This window comes from Homo sapiens, chromosome 6 (assembly GCF_000001405.40).
Source record: "Homo sapiens chromosome 6, GRCh38.p14 Primary Assembly".
Lineage (NCBI taxonomy): Eukaryota > Metazoa > Chordata > Mammalia > Primates > Hominidae > Homo > Homo sapiens.
The window spans coordinates 21,847,487-21,871,549 of record NC_000006.12 but is presented as its reverse complement, the minus strand read 5'-3'; the positions used below and the strand labels follow the sequence as shown (position 1 = coordinate 21,871,549).

Below are 24,063 nucleotides of genomic sequence, written 5' to 3'. Positions count from 1 at the left end.
GAGTCAGCGTACAGCCCTAGGAAGAGGTGCTAATCAGGCTAGCATGACACAAGTGATAGAGCCTAATGCGTGTCACACTAAAAGAAGTAATGTTCCATAATAGCACTGTGAACACCTAAATCAGTTAATTATCTTGATACATTTTGCATTGTGTACTACAGTAAGAATATACAGAGGGTGACCCATCACAACTGAAAACTCGAAAATTTTGAGCACATAGATTGGGCAGGGCCTGGGATTTATTTGATTGGAGTCCCGGCCTAAAATAGTGAAAGTCCCCTTAAGTAATCACATTATCTAATTGCAAGATTTAAATTCAGTTCCTTACTGATAAAATCCATTGCACAAAACCTGCCAACCAATAAGGTAAGAGAGGTCATGAGTTTGAAGCATGAAGCCAATTCAAAAGAGAAGTTCTAGCTCAGAGAAGACATAAGGGAGTCCTCATCACCAGGTCCACAGTAACAAATACCCCTCCCTGCTCAGTCTCAGTGCACCTCAAACCGGCGTTCTTAAAACCACAACTACGTTTGCCTTAAAACTATGCCCTGGGCTGGGCACGGTGGCTCACGCTTGTAATCCGAGCACTTTGGGAGGCTGAGGCAGGTACATCACCTGAGGTCAGGAGTTCAAGACCAGCCTGGTCAACATGGTGAAACCCCAACTCTACTAAAATATAAAAATTAGCTAGGTGTGGTGGCACGTGCCTGTAATCCCAGCTACTCGGGGGGCTGAGGGAAGAGAATCACTCAAATCTCGGAGGCGGAAGTTGCAGTGAGCAGAGATCACGCCACTGCACTTCAGCCTGAGCAGCAGAGTGAGACTCTGTCTCAAAAAACAAACAAAAAACCTATGCCCTGAATTTTCAAAAATATAATGAGTCAAAATTAGTACTACTCAATGGGCTCAAATTAGGCTCAGCTTAGGGCTGCATGCCTTTGCACTTGCACAGCTGGGCTCCACCCCTTCAGTCCCTGCCTCAAAGAGGGAAAGACTTCAGACAAGTCAAGGCAGAGGAGATGTGTGCACCAGGCAGCAACAGAAAAAACTATCCCTGGTGATTATGATATCCTCCAGGCACCCAATTCTGAGACCACAAGGAGTGACGATTTACCACGTGTTGTGGGAACAGGCTTGGGACTGAGATTGACATGAGTTAATTCAGCTGTGGCACTCAAATCCACATATGCACAACCATTGTGCAGTCCTGTGGCTCCAGCAAATCTCAAGATAATGAGGGAAACAGTGCGACATACAGAGAAAGGCACTGGACTGAATCAGAAGACCTAGATTTTTCTTATTGACTCTGCTGGCTAATCTCAAGGGAAGAGGCAAATCACGCTCTCTCTGGGACTAAATTTCCTCATCTGTAAAATAAAGAGCAGATGCTCTTTTCTGGCACAGAATTCTCACTGACATAGAAACTGAAATTCAAAACCATTTATATGTCCCCCTACGTCTAGCACAGGGAGCCCCCAGGACTTTTTAGCCAGAGAATTCATGGGCTTCTAAGAAGACTTAATACAGTGGTATTAGCAATGGGCCTAGGTAGGAAACACTATTCTTATGACCCTATCAAAATATCACCTAAAATTAAAAAGTAAAAGAAAATTTTGTTTTAACCACTTCACACTCAAGCACGTGCAGGGTGAGGGCCATTAGCTCTCCTCCTCGGTGCCAAGAATCAAGTCTCTCTCAACATATAGCAAAGCGAAGCCTTCCCAAAACCCTTACTATTGATGCAATGTGGTTGCATCAAATTTCAAATTTCTCATCAGACTGAACTCGCTGGCAGAGGACTCCCAGCAAGATAACTTCATTCCACCTGGTAAGCCACTTAATAGAATGACAGGAGCACCATTCTTGTGTGGTGTTGGGACCTGTGTGTGTTACGTGTCTTCCTAACTAGGCTCCCAATAGCTTTGGGGCAAGGAATAAGCCCATCTCTATATTAGGGATGGCATTTAACAAGGTGACTCAATACCTGTTAAGCAATAAAAACATTAGTCTGCACAGAGCCTGAGGTGCAGCCTACCGAGGTAGTTCAGTTCTTCCATGGCGTCCTGTAATCTACTGAGTGGGTGAAAACTGTCCTGGAATGACTTCCCTTAATAACTTTCCATCCCACTTCCACTCTTTCTCAATCTCTCCTTCCTTTATCTCATTCTGCCAATACCTAGATTTGAACCTCCCACTCAGGATGAAACACAGATGGGACAGTTGTTCTTTTCTCTCCCTCTCTACCCTCAAGCCTGATGTGTTTGCTTCTAGGTGTAATTTGAATTCTGAGTCATCCATCAAAGATGGGAACTCTCATAGTAGGAGGCAGAGAAAGAAAAAAGTTGGCCGGGCACAGTGGCTCACACCTATAATCCCAGCACTTTGGGAGGCCGAAGCAGGTGGATCACGAGGTCAAGAGATCGAGACCATCCTGGCCAACATGGTGAAACCCCATCTCTACTAAAAATACAAAAAAAAATTAGCCGAGCGTGGTGGCACGCACCTGTAGTCCCAGCTATTCAGAGGCTGAGGCAGGAGAATCACTTGAACCCAGGAGGCAGAGGTTGCAGTGAGCTGAGATTGCACCATTGCAATCCAGCCTGGGCAAAGAGCAAGACTCCGTCTCAAAAAAAAAAAAAAAAAAAAAGTCACTCCAGATACCTTTTTTTCCCCCAAGTCCTAAATCTATACAATCAGATTTAAATTGAAATGTTCTCTCAGACCCAAAGGAAATGGGCAGTTGGCCAAGATGATAGCACAGCCCTAGCAATTGGGCACAAAGAGATAAGTCGCTCCGTAAGAGGGTACCTGGGCTTTATCACAACTCAGAAAATGCACTCAGGGGAAAATTGAGCTCGATCTGGAGAACCACTTGGTCCTGCAAAGAACTATTACAGTGAGAGTCTTCACAAGACTATCACCTCCTCACTCCTTTATTTTTCAAACCTGAAGCAACTTTTGCCTTCTTGTTCACCAACCTATTATCCTCTCTCAGCTTCAAAAGCTAACTGCCCAAAAGCTACATTTTCTCCATGAAGCCAATTCCGAATAGCATTCCCTAGGAGTGCTCTGCTTCCAAAACTTAAAAGGAGCCAAGAAATCTCAAGCCTCTGAGATTTAACAGCTTTGTGTGGTATGCCTGAATTGCCTACTCTCTTTAAGTCAAACCATAATCCCCCCTTTAAAATCTTGACAGTGACAGAAAAAAGGATTATATAAATGATAAAACCTATGGTGCTGATACATGAAATCCTGGATCCACTTCTCAATTCATTCACTGACTCTATGGAAAACATTAGGAACGATATTTCTCCCTTTGTAAAGTAGCTTTTTATTAAGCTGTGTTGACATGGTATCATAATGCTTACAGTCTTCTATTTAGAGTATGGCTCCTTCAACTCAGTAGTTTTGAGCATCTCTCAGTGTTACTTTGTCTATTATATATCTTTTAGGTGTCTCAGGAGCTGTCCCACACACCGTTGACAATGCAAACCCAATTCTTAAAATGAAGATATTTCCATTTGTGTACAGAGGCCATGCAATTATCACAAGTAATTCACTTAAGCAAACACCTACTGCCTTGAGTCATCTTTTCATCTTTACATATACTTCACACCATACATAATGTCAAGGGCTCCAGGCCTAATAACAATGCTCCTAGAAGCTAAGTACTTAATACCAACTCTTCTGGGATGAATTTGGATAGAGGATGAATATTTGATATCATAATGATGTGAAAAGGAGAATCTGAAACTGGGTTCATTTGAGTGTTATCCTCTCAGTGGGCAATTAACATGAAATGGTCTTACTTTAATCACGTCAAGGCTACCAAACTTTTTCTTTTCTTGAGACAAAGTCTCACTGTGCCATCCAGGCTGGAATGCTGTGGTGTGATCTTGGCTCACTGCAACCCCCACCCCTCAGGCTCAAGCAATTCTCCTGCCTCAGCCTCCCAAGTAGCTGGGACTACAGGCATGCACCACCAAGTCCAGCTAAATTTTGTATTTTTTGTAGAGACAGGGTTTCTCTATATTGTGCAGGCTGATCTCTAACTCCTAGACTCCAGAGATCTGCCCATCTCAGCCTCCCAAAGTGCTGGGATAACAGGTGTGAGCCAGCAAGCCCCGCCCCCAAATTACTTTTTTTTTTTTTTTTTTTTTTTTTTTTTTAGTTTTGCTCTTGTTGCACAGGCTGGAGTGCAATGGCACGATCTGCAACCTCCGTCTCTACAGTTCAGGCGATTCTCCTGCCTCAGCCTCCCGAGTAATTGAGATTACAGGCACCTGACTCCACACCCGGCTAATTTTTGTATTTTTAGTAGACAGGGTTTCACCATGTTGGCCAGGCTGGTCTCGAACTCCCAACTTCAGGTGATCCACCCACCTCGGCCTCCCAAAGTGCTGGGATTGCTGGCATGAGCCACTATGCCTGGCCCCAAATTGCTATTTATAAACCTCTTTCTCATCTTTAATGACACCGATCTCCTAATTTGGGGGTCATACTTTAGGTGATTATATTCTTGATCAGTTTACTTTTTTTTTTTTTTTTCAGATGGAGTTTCACTTTTGTCACCCAGGCTGGAGTGCAATGGCGCGATCTCAGCTCACTGCAACCTCCGCCTCCCAGGTTCAAGCGATTCTCCTGCCTCAGCCTCCTGAGTAGCTGGGATTACAGGCATCCACCACCACGCCCAGCTAATTTTGTATTTTTAGTAGAGACAGGGTTTCTCCATGTTGGTCAGGCTGGTCTCAAATTCCCGAACTCAGGTGGTCCAACCACCTTAGCCTCCCAAAGTGCTGGGATTACAGGCGTGAGCCACCATGCCCAGCCTGATCAATTTACATTTCTATTCTCAAATTCAATTTTGGTTTTATGTAAGTTCCTGCCTTGGTCAGGCAAAGCTGTTACTTGGATTCTAAACAGGAAGGGCTGGGTTATAGCCTTTTACACATTTCTTTCTCGTTCCCCGGCCTCCAGCGCATCCTCCTCCCATGAGGAACTGGTAGAGAGAGAAAGGCAAATATCTCCCTGCATAAGTGGCCACGATCGTGTCTCTGGATAATGCCGGCTGGGATGTGAGTTCCTCTGAGGGTCTTATGGGAGCTCCTCACTGCACAGCTTCCCTGATATAGGTCTGGCTCAACCTTCTCCACCCACGCCTTGGCTCCCATTATCAAAAGCCAGCCACTTAGGGAAAGTTCTAGCAAGATGGCTCAGGACCAACCACCATTCCCAGTGTCCATTTCACCCTTGGAGACCATGCATATCCTTGACAAACTGAAAGGGAGATATGTGGGCTGCTCCATTGGCAACCTTCTTCCTGCTGTTCTTCTCCATTCTCTCCTCCCAACCCAGATAGGCACAGGGGCAGGTTGGCAACTCAGCCCGAGCAGTCACTCAACCAGAAAATCCAATGCTAATGCTGTCTTCCTGCAGGCACCCCAATCCTCATGGCAAGTGTCTCTGGGAATTGTCTCTCTCATGTCCTCTATAAAGCTGAAGAGACCTTCTCCTCCTCAACCCTTCCCCAAAGTTCTATGCAGACTAGAAAAGGCTGGGGGTGGGGGTAGGGGTGGTAACTGGTGGCAAAAGTTCAGTCTCATTAGACTTGAAGAAGTATTCAAAGCTTCTTGTTTTTATTTATTTATTTATTTTTTATTTTATTTTTTGAGACAGTCTTGCTCTGTTGCCCAGGCTGAAGTGCAGTGGCATGATCTTGGCTCACTGCAACCTCCGCCTCCCGGGTTCATGCGATTCTCTTGCCTCAGCCTCCCTAGTAGCGGGGATTACAGGTGCCTGCCACCACACCTGGCTAAATTTTGTATTTTTAGTAGAGACGGGGTTTCACCATGTTGGCCAGGCTGGTCTCTAACTCCTGACCTCAAGTGATCTGCTCATCTCGGGCTCCCGAAGTGCTGGGATTACAGGCATGAGCCACCACAGCCGGCTGTTCAAAGCCTCTTGTTTTAGCTGGAGCCCTACACATCTATTCTAAGAATAGAAGAGTAGGAGAGTAGAACTCAACTATTTTAAACTTAATGGTAAAGAGTCACCAATTTATCCAGACATTTAAAAATAATGGAAACAAAGATATGATGAACTCTTGGAAATATGTCTTGTGCATTTGAAAGGTTCCATTCTCAGTGGCATGCAAAATACAATGTATCTCTTAATTCTACTTATTAATTACATTGATCAAATCCTTAGCATTCTTATTTGGTATCTGTTTGATTTGTGATACACTGGCATGTCTGAGTACTCCTTAAAATTGCGTGGTTTTGGCCAGGCACGGTTGCTCACGCCTGTAATCCCAGCACCTTGGGAGGCCAAGGCAGGTGGATCACAAGGTCAGGAATTCGAGACCAGCCTGGCCAATATGGTGAAACCCTGTCTCTACTAAAAATACAAAAATTCACCGGGCATAGTGGCGTGCACCTGTAGTCCCAGCTGCTAGGGAGGCTGAGGCAATAGAATCGCTTGAACCCAGGAGGCGGAGGTTGCAGTGAGCTGAGATCGCGCCACTGCCCTCCAGCCTGGGTGACAGAAGGAAACCTTGTCTCAAAAAAAAAAAAAAAAAAAAAAAAAAAAAAAAAAAAAAAATTGCGTGTCTTTGTTAATGTCTCTGTTTCTGTTATTTAGAAAGATTATTTCAACTATATTTTATATTAACATTATTTTGAACTGTGAAAGTCAAGGCTACTTTAATGAAACAAACCTTTAAATTGAAATAATTTTAAATAATGAAAGAACCTAATTCATTTTAGTTTTTTAGTAATTTTAAGCCTGTCCTAAACAAAGCACTTTTGGACAAAAGCTTTATATTTGTTTCAAAATATATTGAAAAGATGGCAGTAAAACATGTTAGCTTTCAGGTTTCCAAAATCTATCCTTAATTTATCTCAATTTACCTTACGGCCATCCCACCTAGTAAGACAAATTTTTTTACCTCCCTTTTAAAAATATAAACATTAAAATACCAAAGGTTTTAAAAGTTACACCACAGTTAGTGAATTAGGTTTGCCAAATACGAGATAGAAAACTTTTCTTGTATCTCAAGATCCTGAAAAAAAAAAAAAAGATAAAACAATGCACTTAATTAATCAAGTGAACTTTATTTTATGTGGAAGATAAAGAAACTTGGCCAGGCTCCTTACATTCATGTCTAGATTCCAAAAGAGGTTGCAACGTGGATCACAAGAAATACTCCTTCATTTCCCAGGATTCTAACAGTATGGTACTTTTAAATATATCCAAAAATTAGTCTCTGTATCACTACACTAAATAATTTTGGAGAGTAACAATGAAACAGCTAACATTTGTATGACACATGGTAATTTTTGATATCTAGCAATAGCATTACATTTTACCTCACGTTATTGTCCCTATTTTAGAAATGATGAAAATAAACTTCAAAGTGATTAAGTAATTTACCAAAGTCACACAGCTAGGAAATGCCATGTTTGGGATTCAAACCAGTCTTCCCACTTTTAATCCTGCACTGTTTTCTTTTTTTTTTTTAACTTTTTTTTTTTTTGAGAGGTTGTTTCTCTCTTATTGCCCATGCTGGAGTGAAATGGTGCTACCTCTACTCACTGCAACCTCCAACTCCTGAGTTCAAGCAATTCCCCCACCTCAATCTCCCAAATAACTAAAATTATAGGCAGGATTACAGGCATGCACCACCACGCCCGGCTAATTTTTGTATTTTTAGTAGAGATGGGGTTTCACCATGTTGGCCAGGCTGGTCTCGAACTCCTGACCTCAAGTGATCCCCCGGCTTGGCCACCCAAAGTGCTGGGATTACAGGCGTGAGCCACCGCGCCCAGCTTCCTGCACTGTTCTCACTATTGTCCTACGGTGCTTAGCATATTGCCTGAAACAGGTTACTCGCTCTTTCTAGAACTTGCAAAGCTTTTTCTTGTTTTCATTTATCTATAAATTTTTTGTTTGTTTGTTTGTTTGTTTGAGACAGGGTCTTGCTAACACCCAGGCTGGAGTGCAGTGGTGCAATCACAGCTCCCTGCAGCCTCAACCTCCTGCGCTCAAGCGATCCCCCCGCCTTCACCCCCTCAAGTAGCTAGGACTACAAGCGTGCACCACCAGGCCCAGCTAATTTTTGTATTTTGTGTAGAGACGGAGTTTTGCCATGTTGTCCAGGCTGGTCTCAAACTCCTGAGGTCAGGCAATCCACCCGCCTTGGCTTCCCAAATTGTTGGGATTACAGGCTTGAGCTACCATGCCCAGCCAATTTGCAAAGTTTGTAGGTATACCTTATCCCAGTTGATTTTTTTAGTGGCCCTATAGATAAGATCAATACGATGTCTATTTTTAAAATGAGGAAATTGAAGCTCAAAAAAGGTTAACTCACTTGTCAAAGGTTTTCCAACTAGAAAATAGCAGAGAGGGCACTTGAGGCCAGGCTTCTGACTTCTACTCTAGTGGAAATTTACCCCTACTGTCCCACAGACCTTCCACATTTTACGATTTGTGTTCTTAAATTTTGATGCAAGAAAACAAGGAATTTTTTTTTTTTTTTTTTGAGACAGAGTCTTGCTCTGTTGCCCAGGATGGAGTGCAGTAGCACAATCTCGGCTCACTACAACCTTCGCCTCCCAGGTTCAAGTGATTCTCCTGCGTCAGCCTCCCAAGCAGCTGGGATTACTGGCACATGCCACCATGCCCAGCTAATTTTTGTATTTTTTTTTTTTAGTAGAGATGGGGTTTCACCATGTTGGCCAGGCTGGTCTTGAACTCCTGACCTTGTGATCCACCTGCCTCGGCCTCCCAAAGTCCTGGGATTACAGGGGTGAGCCACTGCACCCAGTCGAAAACAAGGAAATTAAGATGAGGGAAGATGAGTTAGACAAGGCCTTGACTTGACTCCCAAGAGTCCATCAACCTGACAGTCCACATGAAAGCACCCACCTTTCCTGCTACCTGATCATAGGCAGTAAGAGAAGGAAAGTAGGGAGGAGGAGAGGAAGGGGCAAAATAAGACCTGAGCTATTTAAACACAAAAAGAAGGCACCGGCCGAGCACGGTGGCTCACATCTGTAATCCCAGCACTTTGGGAGGCTGAGGCGGGCAGATCACCTGAAGTCAGGAGTTCAAGACCAGCCTGGCTAACATGGTGTAACCCTGTTTCTACTAAAAATACAAAAAATTAGCCAGGTGTGGTGGCGGGCATCTGTAATCCCAGCTACCTGGGAGGCTGAAGCAGGAGAATTGCTCGAACTCTGGAGGTGGAGGTTGCAGTGAGCCAAGATCATGCCATTGCACTCCAGCCTGGGCAACAAGAGTGAAACTCCGTCTCAAAAACAAAAACAAAACAAAACAAAACAAAAAAAACAAGGCACCACAGGAAAAGGGAGACCACTGCAGCGCTGGGCCCAGGAAGACTATTCATCTCTGAAGCAAGAAAGAAGAAACTGAAACGCCTTGGCCAGAAGCAAAGAGAGACTCAAAGCATAATGAGATACTGCTATGGTTTGGACGTATGTCTTCCTCCAAAATTCACGCGCTGGAAATTAACCTCCAAGGTGATGTAATGTATTAAGAAGCAAGACCCTTGTTAGGTAATAGGCCATGGGGGCGCCACCATCATTAATGGGATTAATGGCTTTATAAAAGAGGCTTCAGGCCAGGCACAGTGGCTCACGACTGTAATCCCAGCACTTTGGGAGGCTGAGGTGGGCAGATTACCTGAGGTCAGGAGTTCGAGACCAACCTCACCAATATGGAGAAACCCCATCTCTACTAAAAAAATACAAAATTAGCTGGCTATGGTGGCGGGTGCCTGTAATCCCAGCTACTCGGGAGGCTGAGGCAGGAGAATCACTTCAACCCAGGAGGTGGAGGTTGTGGTGAGCCAAGATTACGCCATTGCACTCCAGCCTGGGCAACAAGAGCGAAACTGTGTCTCAAAAAAAAAAAAAAAAAAAAAAAAAGGAGAGCTGCCTCCCTCTTCCATCTCTTCCACCATGTGAGGACACAGCCAACACAATCATCCCCTTTTGCCCTCCTGCCTTCGACATGCAAGGACACAGCAACAAGGCACCATTTTAGAAGCGGAGGCTGAGTCCTCAACAGACAAGTGAATTTGCTGATGCCTTGATCTTGGACTTCCCTGCCTCTAAAATGATGAGAAATAAATGTCTGTTGTTTAAAAATTACCCAGTCTGAGGTTTCCTGTTGCAGCAGCAGGAACAGACTAAGACAGATTGGGAGACGGAGGCGTCAGGAAAAGTTCTCAGGGTCCTCTGAAGATGTCAAAGGGAGCCCCCAAGCATGGCCATGGGATAGGAGCTGGCAGCATGGAGATCATGGGACCTCCATCCAGGCAGAAGAGGCCATGGACACGCCATCCATGACACCAGGCTGAAGGACGAGGCCTTTCTAGAGGCAGAGGATTGAAACTTAATCAACACATGTGCACTTCGTCACCCTGGACCTCACAGACCTAAGCCACTGCTGGCAACCAGCCTCTACATTTTAAATGTATTACTCCATTTATAAGGGGAAGAAAAGGAATATGTTGACCTACTCATTAGCTGCATCATTTGAGGCTTCAGACCTCAAGCAGCAGCTTAGGAACTTAAAAATCTTCTCTTTTTTTGAGACGGAGTCTCACTCTGTTGCCCAAGCTGGAGTGTGATGGCGCAATCTCAGCTCACTGCAACCTCCGCCTCCCAGGTTCAAGTGATTCTCCTGCCTCAGCCTCCTGAGTAGCTGGGACTATAGCTGCCCGCCACTGTGCCCGGCTAATTTTTGTATTTTTAGTAGAGACGGAATTTCACCATGTTGTCCAGGCTGGTCTCCAACTCCTGACTTCATGTGATCCACCCGCCTCGGCCTCCCAAAGTGATGGGATTATAGGCATGAGCCACTGCGCCTGGCCAGAACTTAAAAGTCTTGCATGGGTGCAGGACACCACTCATCCTCCTGCTGAGATGGAGACATGACCAACAAGAAACGTCTAGAGCATGGTTCTCTACCCCAAGACCCTTTTGGGTCATTTATTTCTCCCTTTCAGATTAATATTCGAAAATTGCAGGGAGAAGTAGGATATGGTCTCCAGGTATCCATTTTTATAGCACTTTGTTTTACAAAGCAAGATTTTCACCCTTCAATTAACTGAATAGGCATTCCACATGGAGTACATGCCTCATCCAATCCCATTTCTCAGCCTCTACTTACTCTTTTGTCTTAATGTCATTTTTAAGTCATATTTGTCTTCCACACAATTTGAGAATCAGGATAAGACCTTATACTGTCTCTGCTGGATCATTTGTCTTTGACTTCAACAGAGTCAAAATCAAGCCAGGCACGTAATCCCAGCGCTTTGGGAGGCTGAGGTGGGCAGATCACTTGAGGTCAGGAGTTCAAGACCAGCCTGGCCAACATGGTAAAACCCTGTCTTTACTAAAACTACATAAAGTAGCCAGGTGTGGTGGCATATGCCTGTAGTCCCAGCTATTAGGGAAGCTGAGGCAGGAGAATCGCTTGAACCTGGGAGGTGGAGGTTGCAGTGAGCCGAGATAACGCCACCACACTCCAACGAGGGCAACAGAGACTTCGTCACACACACACACACACACACACACAAAACAAAAAGTAGAGTCAAAATCACAATTATATGGTAGAGGGAAAGCAAGTTCTCTGCCCAAATCATTAACCTTTCTATATCCTACTGTAAATTAACTTCACTTGAAAACATCAAACAGAAATGAGAGGAGGTGGTGCCTAAACCCATGGTGCCCAACCACCATCTATGGAGTTGTGGCATTACATGGCTAAGCTGGTGAGAGTGAATTACCAGAAACTCTGCACAGAATTAAATACCAAAGCATTCTAAGATCAAACCACTTTTGCTAACCTGTGCTGCCCTCAATTTCATAAAACATAGATATGAAGAGTAAGGAAATTAAGGGAAGATATAAGTGTTCAATAACATTGCTGAATGACTGAAGTTTAATTTGTATAGTGCTTAACCACTTGCAAAGTTATCGCCCAATTAAAAGTCCAAAGGATTTTGTACAAGCGCAGAGCATTGGGCGGTTTCACTAGAACAGAATGAAAGTAATGGTTAATGCTTTTCACGGCATACATTCATTAAGACAGAATTCTCAAAAATGTGGGCAGACTCTGAAAGCCTGAGGTTTCAAACCCTGAACCAATGTCAGAAAATACGTCATTTGTATGGATGGAGAAGAATGGGCAAGGAAGTGAAAAGAGACTACTATTTCCAGAATGTCACACTGCTTTTGCACACTCTCAAATAGGCATCTGCTTGTGTGGGAGCTGTGATTCCCTCTCCCCTCCCCACTGTCCTCTAGTATTGTTTAAAAATGACGGAAGAAACAATAGCTAGCTCCACAGAAGTCATCCTCACAAGCCAGATGTCAAGTGAGGGCTGGCAACGTTGGGGCAAAATTAAAAGTGATGGAGGGGGAAACAGTGGTGTGCCCCTTGGGTGGATAGAAGGTTTCATTAATGTCTGTGATGGAATCATGAACCACAACAGTGAGGCATTTCCGCCTCTGGCCTTTTTTTGGTTTTTGTTTTTTTTAGAATCAGGATCTCACTCTGTCGCCCAGGCTGGAGTGCTGAGGCACAATCATAGTTCACCGCACCTCGAACTCCTAGCTTCAAGCGATCCTCCCACCTCAGCCTCCCAAAGTGTTGAAATTACAGGTGTGAGCCACTAAGTCCACCTGCCTTTTTAAGATGTGTTTGAAAATATCCAGGAGAGCAACTCAGAAGTTATAGTCTTAAAACATACCCATTCAGGCAGCTTTGTTTTCCATGCGGAAAGCCCAGGTTGGCTGATATTCCTGGAGGCTTCACGCATCCTGGGAGGCGGCTGAGGTATTCCTTTTCTCCCTTTTAAACAACTGACAGACACTTTCCAGCATCTTCCTGGTGGCTGAGTTGATGAGGGATTTTTTCCCCTCGTACAGTCCTATTTATGAAAATCAGCAGCTAGTTGGTAGCAGGTTAAGAAGCTCCAGGTGTTGGGGGAAAGCAAGCTCCCCATAATTAGCATTTTCCCATTGAAATATCATTATATCCCTGAAATATTATAACTTGAGTGTCCTTAATTTTCTACAGATTTTTATTTTGCAGTGTGAACAAGATCCTTAAGCTCAGAGAAGAATCATTTCCTAGGAAAAAGACTAGCAACACAGATGCTCCATGCAACCACTTCTTGTAAAACACCAGTACTTAGACACACAGACAGATTTTTAAACATAATTCTAAGTTCAACAGACCAGACTCAACGCACAGTGATGCACAAGAATGGGCTATGTGCCCACCCCCAAAACACTGTGGAAGCACACTAAGAATGAGTTCTGATGAGCAGGTGTTCCAGGCAGAGAAATGCTTCTAGTCAGAATCACCCTGAGTTTCAAAAACAGATTTTTAAAGATCAATTTCTAGGTGCATGTTTTTTGTTTTTTGTTTTTGAGATGCAGTTTCGCTCTTGTCGTCCAGGCTGGAATGCAGTGACACGATCTCGGCTCGCTGCAACCTCTGCCTCCTGGGTTCAAGCAATTCTCCTGCCTCAGCCTCCCGAGTAGCTGTGATTACAGGCGCACGCCACTGCACCAGGCTAATTTTTTGTATTTTTTTTTTTTTTAGTAGAGATGGGGTTTCACCATGTTGGCCAGGCTGGTCTTGAATTCCTGACCTCAGGTAATCTGCCTGCCTCAGCCTCCCAAAGTGCTAGGATTATAGGCGTGAGCCACCACGCCGGCATTTTAGTAATTTTAACGGAGACGGGGTTTCACCATGTTGGCCAGGCTGGGGTCACAAACTCCTGACCTCAAGTGATCCACCTGCCTCAGCCCCAAGTAATATATTTTGCGGTAGCTTTTTGATGCAAATATCAGATTATTGTACTGAGACAGGAATATTTTGGACTGATCCTTAAAAACCCATAAAATTTTAAGCTGCTTTTAAAAAAACTACCCAAAAATGACATCCATCAGACAACAACCCTTATCCTATACCCAGTGGGTCAGGGCTAGGCTAAACCACAGAAAGTTATGGAAATGAGTACATCGCTTGCTAAATAAAACCAGGGGTTACATTGTGATGAGATGCATCTGGTCAACCCCTTCATTTTATAGGTGAGATTCAGAGGAATGGCCTCCCCTGGCTAGGAAGTAAGAGAGCCAAGACTTGCTCATATTTCTTCTCTCTAAATCTATGCCCTTTCCATGGTTTGATACTTCCTATGTATCGATGACATTTTACATTCCTATTATGTGTAAGGTAGCTAGACTTTCTTTGCCCAGCTGGCTAAGCAGCATTAGCTTGGTTTTTCACAGGCAAGCCTTCTACAGTCTTCTTCGAATGTACTTGTAGACTCTTTTTCAAATGCATTTGCACACTAATATGTATATTAGTTTTTTATTGGTGCATAACAAATTACCACAAACTTAGTGGCTTAGGCAACAGGCATCTACTAGCTCACAGTTTCGTAAGTCAGAAGCCCAGCCCATCATGACTGGGTTCTCTGCTCAGTGTGTCACAAGGCTGAAATCTAGGTGTTGGACTGAGTTCTCATCTAAAGCCTCTAGAGGAAAAAGCCCCTTAAAAGCTCATTCTTGTCATTAATAGAATCCAGTTCCTTGCAGTTGTAGGACTGACATCCCCACTTCCTTGCTGGCTGTCAGCTCCTTGGGGCTGCCGGCATTCCTTGCCACACAGCCCCCTCCATCTTCAGCTCACAAAGGTGCATTTGAATCTTCCTCATGCTAAGAATCTCCAGCTTCTCTTTCCTCAAGCAGCAAGACAAAACTCTCTGCTTTTAAAGGGCTGGTGTGATTAAGTCAGACTCACCTGGATATTCTCCAGATCTTAAGGTCAATTATACCATAGAACATAACTAGTCAAGGGAGTAAATTCATCACAGACATAGTTCCAGGGATTACTCAGGGTGTGTATGCAACACGGGTCTGGGAGTGAATCATGGGGGCCATGTCAGAATTCTTCTTCCACACAATGCTAATAAGGGCATGTTTATATTTCCCCTAACTCTGCCAAATTAGAAAGCAATTATTCTGTCTGAAGTAAGAATGATGTAGTGGCATGGACACAATTTAGAAAGACCCTTCACAGAAACAAGCATATTCTATGGCTTAAAACTTTCCACTTCAACCGGGATAGCAAAGGGGTAGAAATCATAAAAACAGATAAAGGAGAACAATCTGGGGATGAGACTGAAATTGCCGAGTGAGACAGTGGGGGTGGGGTCTAAGGAAGCAGCTTTCACAACTGTCACATACAACAGACTGTAAGAACATGCTCCGTCAAGATTGTGTCATCTGTGTGCCCCACCCTCCTTTTTTGGGTTAAAGCATATAGCACTAGTTTCATTATAGCAGGGACCATATCTACCAACCATCAAGGATAAGCACAATGCCCAGCACATACTTAGCGCTCAATCAACATTGATTCAAATAAACTTGAGGTCAGAGGGGAATGCTGATACATGCTGCTGATTCTGCTAAATTAGTCAGTGTTCTCCCCTCCCCCAACAATGAGCACTTAGCCAGAAAAAAAGTGAAAACAGAATTGGGAACTTCCTTTTAAAAATGAGTGCCACCTCAGTTCCCTTCATTTCGCCCTATCAAAATACTCCACTAAAATAAAACTAAAGGAGTTTCTCAGAATGCAGAAATCTACAAGGACAAGAAGACTGAGATGACAGCAGCAACAATATCACGAAAGCCAGAAAACTGATTCATGGTAAGTAACCAGCGTGATTTAGCGTGGATCCTAAACTAGCAGTGATGAAAGCAGAACCATCCAAAGCCTTCCCAGGACCTCCGAAGTAGGGATTCAGGTGAAGCTTGTGAGCACAGCAGACTCTCAGGCCCCACGCCAGACCCACTAAATCAGAACATTCAGGTAAACAAATTTCAGACATGCATACTCACTTTATTTACTTATATTTTTCTTTTTTTAGAGACAGGGTCTCACTCTGTCACCTAGACTAGAGTGCAGTGAAGAAATCATAGCTCACTGCAGCCTCAAACTCCTGGGCTCAAGCAATCCTCCCGCCTCAACCTACTTAAGTAGCTAGAACTACAGGCTCATGCCACCACCCTGGCTAATTTTTATTTTTTTGGTAGAGATGGGATCTTGCTATGTTGCCCAGGCCGGTCTGGAACTCCTGGCCTCAAGCAATCCTCCAGCCTCAGCCTCCCAAAGCACTGGAATTATTGGTGTGAGCCACTGTGCTGCCCCCATATTAAGTAGCACTCAGTTTGTTCTCCTCTTTTTCTTTTAGGACGTGTATCAAATTTTCCTGTGTTCCAGGAATTCCAAATTCAAAGAAACAAGAGAACAATAATAGTAATTTTATTTACCAAGTGTCAGGAATCCAAATGAGAAAATGTCTGTACAGGAGACACACAAATACCACAAATTAGCAAATCTAATTGGGTTTTTTTTGGGGGATATTTTTCTGACATTACATGCAATAGTTTTATTTGTCATAAACATTGTGTACATCTTTGACTTCTTTTAGATGTTGTGGTAGTGACATACATATTTGCAATTTATATTGCATGTGTCAGCATATTGAAAATCAGCTCAAATGACCAATTTGTATTATATAACTTGTAAGTTCTAAAAACTTAGTATTAGTAGTACTCCCTTTCCCTGAAGATTTCTTTAAAATTTTAATTGTGTGCCGGGCGCAGTGGCTCACGCCTGTAATCCCAGCACTTTGGGAGGCCTAAGCGGGCAGATCATGAGGTCAGGAGTTCGAGACCAGCCTGACCAACATGGTGAAACCCCGTCTCTACTAAAAATACAAAAATTAGCCAGGCGTGGTGGTGGGCGCCTGTAGTCCCAGCTACTCAGGAGGCTGAGGCAGGAGAATCGCTTGAACCCGGGAGGCGGAGGTAGCAGTGAGCTGAGATCATGCCACTGCACTCCAGCCTGGTGACAGAGTGAGACTCCATCTCAAAAAAAAAAAAAAAATTTAATTGTGGGTGGGTGTGTGTGTGTGTGTGTATATATATATATATATATATATATATATATATAACATAAAATTTACCATTTCAGCCTTTTTTTTTTTTTTTGAGACACAGTCTCCCACTATAGTGTGGTGGCACAATCTCGGCTCATGCAACCTCCACCTCCCAGGTTCAAGCAATTCTCCTGCCTCAGCCTCCCTAGTAGATAGGATTACAGGCACACGCCATATTTTAGCCATTTTTAAGTATACAATTCAGTGGCATTAAGCACATTTGTTCACATTGTTTTTCTATCACCAGCAGCCTGCCACAGAACTCTTGAATTTGCAAAACAAACTCTGTACCCATTAAACAGTAACTCCATTCCTCCACCCCTGCTCCAGGTAAGCTCTAAGCTACTTTCCGTTTCTATGAATTTGCATATTCGAAATATTTCATATTTTTGAGATCATACCATATCTGTCCCTCTGTGTCTGGCTTATCTGAGTTAGCACAGTGTCCTCAGATCCATCCATGTTGTAGCATGTGTCATAATTTCCATCTTTTAAAGCTGAATAATCTCCCATTGTGTGTATATACAACATTTTGTTTATCCATTCATCTATGGATGGACTTCTGGGTTGGTTCTACCTTTTGGCTATTAGGCGGATTTGTTTTTAAACTTTTTTTCCACGTTTTAAAAAGCTGCCTTATTGAGATGATAGAAACTTTTATTTTGGTTTCAGGAAAAAAATATACATCCTTTCTGGAAATACGGGCCTAGGAGTTAACTGCAGGAACTAAGAGGTAGGGAATTATCATGCTTTTGAAATTACAGGTCCTTTAAGACCAAAGCAATAAAAATAGCCACATTCACCTTCCAAGATAACCCATATCTTCTGTTTCCTAACATAGCTGGACTACCCTCATATTCTCAGAGGAATGAGAAAAAAAAAATCCTCTCATTATCTACCAGGAAAAAGAATGGAGAGAAAGCCCATCTGAATTAGTGAAAGCAATGAATTACAGATTTTTAGAGCAAGGCAATTTTATTACTTGCAACCTATGGGAAGCTAACAAATTGTCAGAGAAGCCCTAGGCTCCTATTTTAATGAACACAGGAGAATCATATATAATTACCATATCAAGTGCTACTATAAAAATGGAGACTTCTGAAGTACTTGAAGACACTTGAAAACAGTTCATACTCCAGGATTTTTAACACACCACCACCACCACCACCACCACCACGACCACCACCACCACCACCACCACTAGGACAGTATTACTTAGCTCCTAATTTGCAGCACTGAGAAAGGTTTACGAAGCAAAGATAAGCCTTAGCCCAATATTCAGGATGAATGGGTTTTATATAATTTAGAATTTAAAATTCTTTACTATGAACACATTTAAATAGAAAACTGAAAATACTTGAAGGAAAAATAAAAGCAGACTTCCAACTGACTGGTATATTTAAACTAAGTCTAGATAAATACTTAGTTTATTTATTTGCAATCAACAAAATTACTGAGAAAAGAAAAAAGAGAAAGAATTCCCATGACATAAGACAAGCTTTGGGGAAAGAGAAAAGCAATAACATGACCAAATTCTTGTCATCGGAATAAGTTGATCAAAGACAAAGGGAAACTAGAAAACAATGCAATATCAAAAACCCCAATAAAATCCCTCAAGCTTGGTCATGTTTCATGTTGGAAGGCTGTCTATTATTCAGTTCCAATCCTTAACTTCAAAAGTATAGTAAGAAAGAAATGTCTGCAGCTTTGAATTAGTGAACGATAGCATACAAACAAATTCATCCTTTCTCTTTCATTTGTTTTCCCTGAACACTCTCAAATTGACAAGTGCTAGAATTCACCAAGATCATTACTTCCCACCTGGATTTGGTATCCTTAAAGGAGAAAGAAAAAAAATTCTTTTCTGATTTATGAATATTCTGCAACGATGCAAATAAACCAGCCATAAAAATAAGCACAAAGAAAGTCCTCAGCCGGAGCGTCTCTGCCTGGCCGCCCATCGTCTGGGAGGTGAGGAGCCCCTCTGCCTGGCTGCCCAGTCTGGAAAGTGAGGAGCGTCTCTGCCCGGCCGCCAGCCCATCTAGGAAGCGAGGAGCGCCTCTTCCCCGCCGCCATCCCATCTAGGAAGTGAGGAGCATCTCTGCCTGACCCGCCCATCGTCTGAGTGGGGAGCGCCTCTGCCCCGCCGCCCTGTCTGGGATGTGAGGAGCGCCTCTGCTGGGCCGCAACCCTGTCTGGGAGGTGAGGAGCGTCTCTGCCCGGCCGCCCCGTCTGAGAAGTGAGGAGACCCTCTGCCTGGCAACCGCCCCGTCTGAGAAGTGAGGAGCCCCTCCGTCCGGCAGCCACCCCATCTGGGAAGTGAGGAGCCTCTCCGCCCAGCAGCCACCCCGTCCGGGAGGGAGGTGGGGGGGGGGTCAGCCCCCCGCCCAGCCAGCCGCCCCGTCCGGGAGGTGAGGGGCTCCTCTGCCCGGCCGCCCCTACTGGTAAGTGAGGAGCCCCTCTGCCCGGCCAGTCGCCCCGTCCAGGAGGGAGGTGGGGGGGTCAGCCCCCCGCCCGGCCAGCCGCCCAGTCCGGGAGGGAGGTGGGGGGTCAGCCCCCCGCCCGGCCAGCCGCCCCGTCCGGGAGGGGGGAGGGGGGGTCAGCCCCCTGCCCGGCCAGCCGCCCCGTCCGGGAGGGAGGTGGAGGGATCAGCCCCCCGCCTGGCCAGCCGCCCCGTCCGGGAGGTGAGGGGCGCCTCTGCCCGGCCGCCCCTACTGGGAAGTGAGGAGAGGGAGGTGGGGGGGTCAGCCCCCCGCCCGGCCGGCCGCCCCGTCCGGGAGGTGAGGGGCACCTCTGCCCGGCCGCCCCTACTGGGAAGTGAGGAGCCCCTCTGCCCGGCCAGCCGCCCCGTCCGGGAGGGAGGTGGGGGGGTCAGCCCCCCACCTGGCCAGCCGCCCCATCCGGGAGGGAGGTGGGGGGGTCAGCCCCCTGCCCGGCCAGCCGCCCCGTCCGGGAGGGAGGTGGGGGGATCAGCCCCCCGCCTGGCCAGCCGCCCCGTCCGGGAGGTGAGGGGCGCCTCTGCCCGGCCGCCCCTACTGGGAAGTGAGGAGCCCCTCTGCCCGGCCAGCCGCCCCGTCCGGGAGGGAGGTGGGGGGGTCAGCCCCCCGCCCGGCCGGCCGCCCCTACTGGGAAGTGAGGACCCCTCTGCCCGGCCAGACGCCCCATCCGGGAGGTGAGGGGCGCTTCTGCCCGGCCGCCCCTACTGGGAAGTGAGGAGCCCCTCTGCCCGGCCACGACCCCGTCTGGGAGGTGTGCCCAGCGGCTCATTGGGGATGGGCTATGATGACAATGGCGGTTTTGTGGAATAGAGAGGCGGGAAGGGTGGGGAAAAAATTGAGAAATCGGATGGTTGCCGGGTCTGTGTGGATAGAGGTAGACATGGGAGACTTTTCATTTTGTTCTGTACTAAGAAAAATTCTTCTGCCTTGGGAAAAAAAAAAAAAAAAAAAAAAAAGTCCTCAGCCACAGCACTTCGAGTCTACAGATATGGACAATTCTACATCTTAGAGAGATTGTGAGGGGTCTCATGTGTTAGTTAAAGAGGAAGTGGGCAGAGATCACAGATGCTTAAAATCCAATTTCCATATCTGCATGGCTCCATCTTGAGAGCTGTGTTCTAAACCCACTTAGGTCTGCAAGCTGTGCTAACTTTGATGTTATCAGCAGAGGACTAGGTCAAGGGAGAAAGTGAGCTATGTGAGCTATGGAAAAAAAATGAAAGAGAATCATCAAGGGAGAAAAAAAAATGAAGTGAGAGCTAACAGCCTGCCCCTAATTATTTCTTATCCCTCTAATTTTTGTTTTTATTAAAAGGAGAAAAATAAAGCACATAAGCATCTCAGAGATACTGATTATTCTGCTTAATGAGGCATATATTAAACATCTTTTAATTAACCAAAGAATGGTATTAGTGCCTACCACATGCTGCAGAGATGAGAATAATCTTTGGAAGTTAAGTTGCCCATCCTCAGAGGGCTTGTATTCTGTTTAGAGACAAAACCCAACGTGCCTCTCCCTGTCCACAGCTCCTTTAAGCCTGAGGGCAACCCCCCCAGTTTCTTTTACACTCCAGAGTGGTAAGGCTAACATCCTAAAAGCATCTCATCTTATCTTTCTGGGGGGAACAGGGTTGATTATACAATTGACCCTTAAACAATGTGGGGGTAGGCCAGGCACGGTGACTCACACCTATAATCCCAGCACTTCGAGAGGCGGAGGCAGGTGGATCGCCTGAGGTCAGAAGTTCCAGACCAGCCTGGCCAACATGGCAAAACCTTGTCTCTACTAAAAATACAAAAATTAGCCAGGCGTGGTGGTGGGCGCCTGTAATCCCAGCTACTCAGGAGGCTGAGGCAAGAGAATCGTTTGAACCCGGGAGGCAGAGGTTGCAGTGAACCGAGACTGCACCATTGCACTCCAGCCTGGGTGACAAGAGCAAAACTCTGTCTCAAAAACAAACAAAAAACAATGTGGGGGTGAGAGGCACTGACCACCTTGCACAGTCAAAAACCCACATATAACTGTGACTCCCCAAAAACTTAACTACTGTTGACCAGAAGCCTTGCCAATAAAATAGTCGATGCACTCATATTTTGTATCTCATATGTATTATAGACTGTATTCTTACAATAAAGCTAGAGAAAAGAAAATCATAAGGAAGAAAAAGTATATTTACTACTCTTTAAGTGAAAGGGCATCATTATAAAGGTCTTCATCCTTGGAGACTGAAACTTAGAAATCTTCACATTGAGTAGGCAGAGAAGGTGGAAGAGGAGGAAGTGGTCTTGCTTTCTCAGGGATGGCAGAGGAGGAAGAAAATCTGCCTATAAGTGGGCCTTTGCCATTCAACCGCATGTTGTTCAAGGTCAACCATACTATGAACTCCAGATACCTTAGTCTTGCAAACGAAGGCACTGGCCACAGGCTCAGCTCTCACCTCCAATCATCCTTTGCCTTCTTCACCATTCTGCAAACACACCTTGTTCTTTCTTCCTTCCTTGTCTTTGCCCTTTTTTTTTTTTTTCTATCTTCCTAATCTCCCCTCTGGCCTTCGTACTCCTAGAAAAACCCTACCCACCCTTCAGAACACCAGTTTAAAGATCACCTCAAAGGCTTCTACGAACCTGTTATTCCTCCCTCCTCTACGTTCCTCTACTAATGATACTCAGAGGGCCACAATACACTGAGCAAGTGGAGCTGTCATTCTGCTCAAGATAAATCTGTCTGTGGGCCTGTCAGCAGAAGTGAGTTTTGTTTTGTATACTTCCATCACAAAATGTGATACAATGTGTTGTGCTCAAAAAAATGTTTGCGGAATCCATTTAAAAACAAACCCCCAAAATGGTATCTTTCCTTTGCTCTGTGCTGGCAAAGCCTGGCCACCTCCTTGGTTCATGCCCTCGACCTCCACATCCCCTTCTCATCCCCGGCATTTCTGATCTGTGGACAAAGGCTGGGCATTAAGAGATTTCGGAGTCTAGGCCAGGAAATTGATGTTGTGTTTGTTTTTATTTTTGTCTTTTGGGGTTTTTCGGTTGTTTATTTGCTTTTTAGAGTCAAAGTCTCGTTCACTGCAGCCTCAAACTTCTGGGCTCAAGTGATCCTCCCACCTCAGCCTCCCGAATAGCTAGGATTACAGGTGCACATCACCACATTTAGCTAACTTGTTTTTTAATTTTTTTGCAGAGAGGGGGTCATGCTATGTTGCCCAGGCTGGTCTTGAACGCCTGGCCTCAAGCATCCTCCTATCTTGACCTCCAGAAGTGCTGGGATTACAAGCATAAGCCACTGCACCAGCTTTTTTTTTTTTTTTTTTTTTTTTTTTTTGAGACAGGGTCTCGCTGTGTCACCCAGGCTGGAGTGCAGTGGCTCAATCAAAGCTCACCGCAGCCTCTACGTCCCTGAGCTCAAGCAATCCTCCCACCTCAGCCTCCCAAGTAGCTGGGACTACAGGTGCACACCACCATGACTAACTAATTTTTGTATTTCCTGTTGGGACAGGGTTTTGCCATGTTGCCCAGCCTGGTCTTGAACTTCTCAGCTCAAGCAATCCGCCCACCTCAGCCTCCCAGAATGCTGGGATTACAAGCATGAGCCACTGCACCCAGCCTATTTTTGTTTTTAAGAGCTCATAAGCTGACTCTGATGATCAGCCAAATTTAGAAACCACTGGACTTTGCATACTTTCCATTTTCATTAGTTCTAGGAGTCCACCCCATCGGTTCCTGCTTCCAGATCTCTGCCCATTTCATGATGGGTATTTACTTCTAGGATAAGCCTACAGCTTCCTGACTCACCATGTTACTTTCTGATTAAGTAATGAGAGATGTGAATTCTTCCTTCATTTATTTTATTTGTTCAACAACAAGTATTTATGTAGCTTCTTTCAACAGCTAGTGATACTTGGCTTCATATAAGATTACCCACTAACAATTTGATCTTGAACTCTTTCCTCAAAGGAAGATTTTTTAAAGCATAGAGCAATTATGTATGATTCCAATTCAGGACAAAGTAGGCGGTAACTTACATTTTTAGCTCTTAAGTGGGTGCTCACGGCCATATGTAGCTCCTGAGTGTGGAGATTACATCCCAAATATAGAACAAGGCTCATCTATACAGTATAATTGTGGAATTCTAAGTCTCAGTCTCCAAGCCACAGAAACGAGGGAGCTATTCAGAGAAGTGGATTCCTTCAAGCAAATATTCTATACTTTCCCCCAATCACCATTTTTTTCAATAAATCAGGTTGCAGCTGAGAAGATGCCAGGCTCATATATTCTCCCTTCAAATTTATGTATTTGATACTTTCTATTCGGTTTTTTTGGAGGTTTCCTCAACCCAGAAAGGGTGGCTGCTGATCATCTCTTCCTGAACTATTGTTACACTTGCCCAAGTACCCAAGCCCTTGCGTGTGACACACTTGTGCACCTGGAATCTCAATTAGTTCCAAGCAATATAAATAGAAAAAGTGGCCACTGGTAATGGATATAAAATGAAGTGGCAGAAGGGCACTT

The 24,063-nt window shown here is 44.9% G+C and overlaps 1 long non-coding RNA gene across 1 annotated transcript in view, besides 1 other annotated feature; it reads right to left on the bottom strand.

The window, feature by feature from the left end:
- Positions 1–24,063, bottom strand: part of CASC15 (cancer susceptibility 15) — a 529,408-nt gene that overhangs the window by 324,271 nt on the left and 181,074 nt on the right. The gene's annotated exons all lie outside the window — the stretch shown is intronic.
- Positions 14,838–15,132: a silencer, noted in NCBI's record as "tiled region #6328; K562 Repressive non-DNase unmatched - State 22:ReprW". NCBI's record gives its function as "represses a minimal TATA promoter and a strong SV40 promoter by Sharpr-MPRA in K562 cells {active_cell/tissue: K562}" and the evidence as "EXISTENCE:reporter gene assay evidence [ECO:0000049][PMID:27701403]".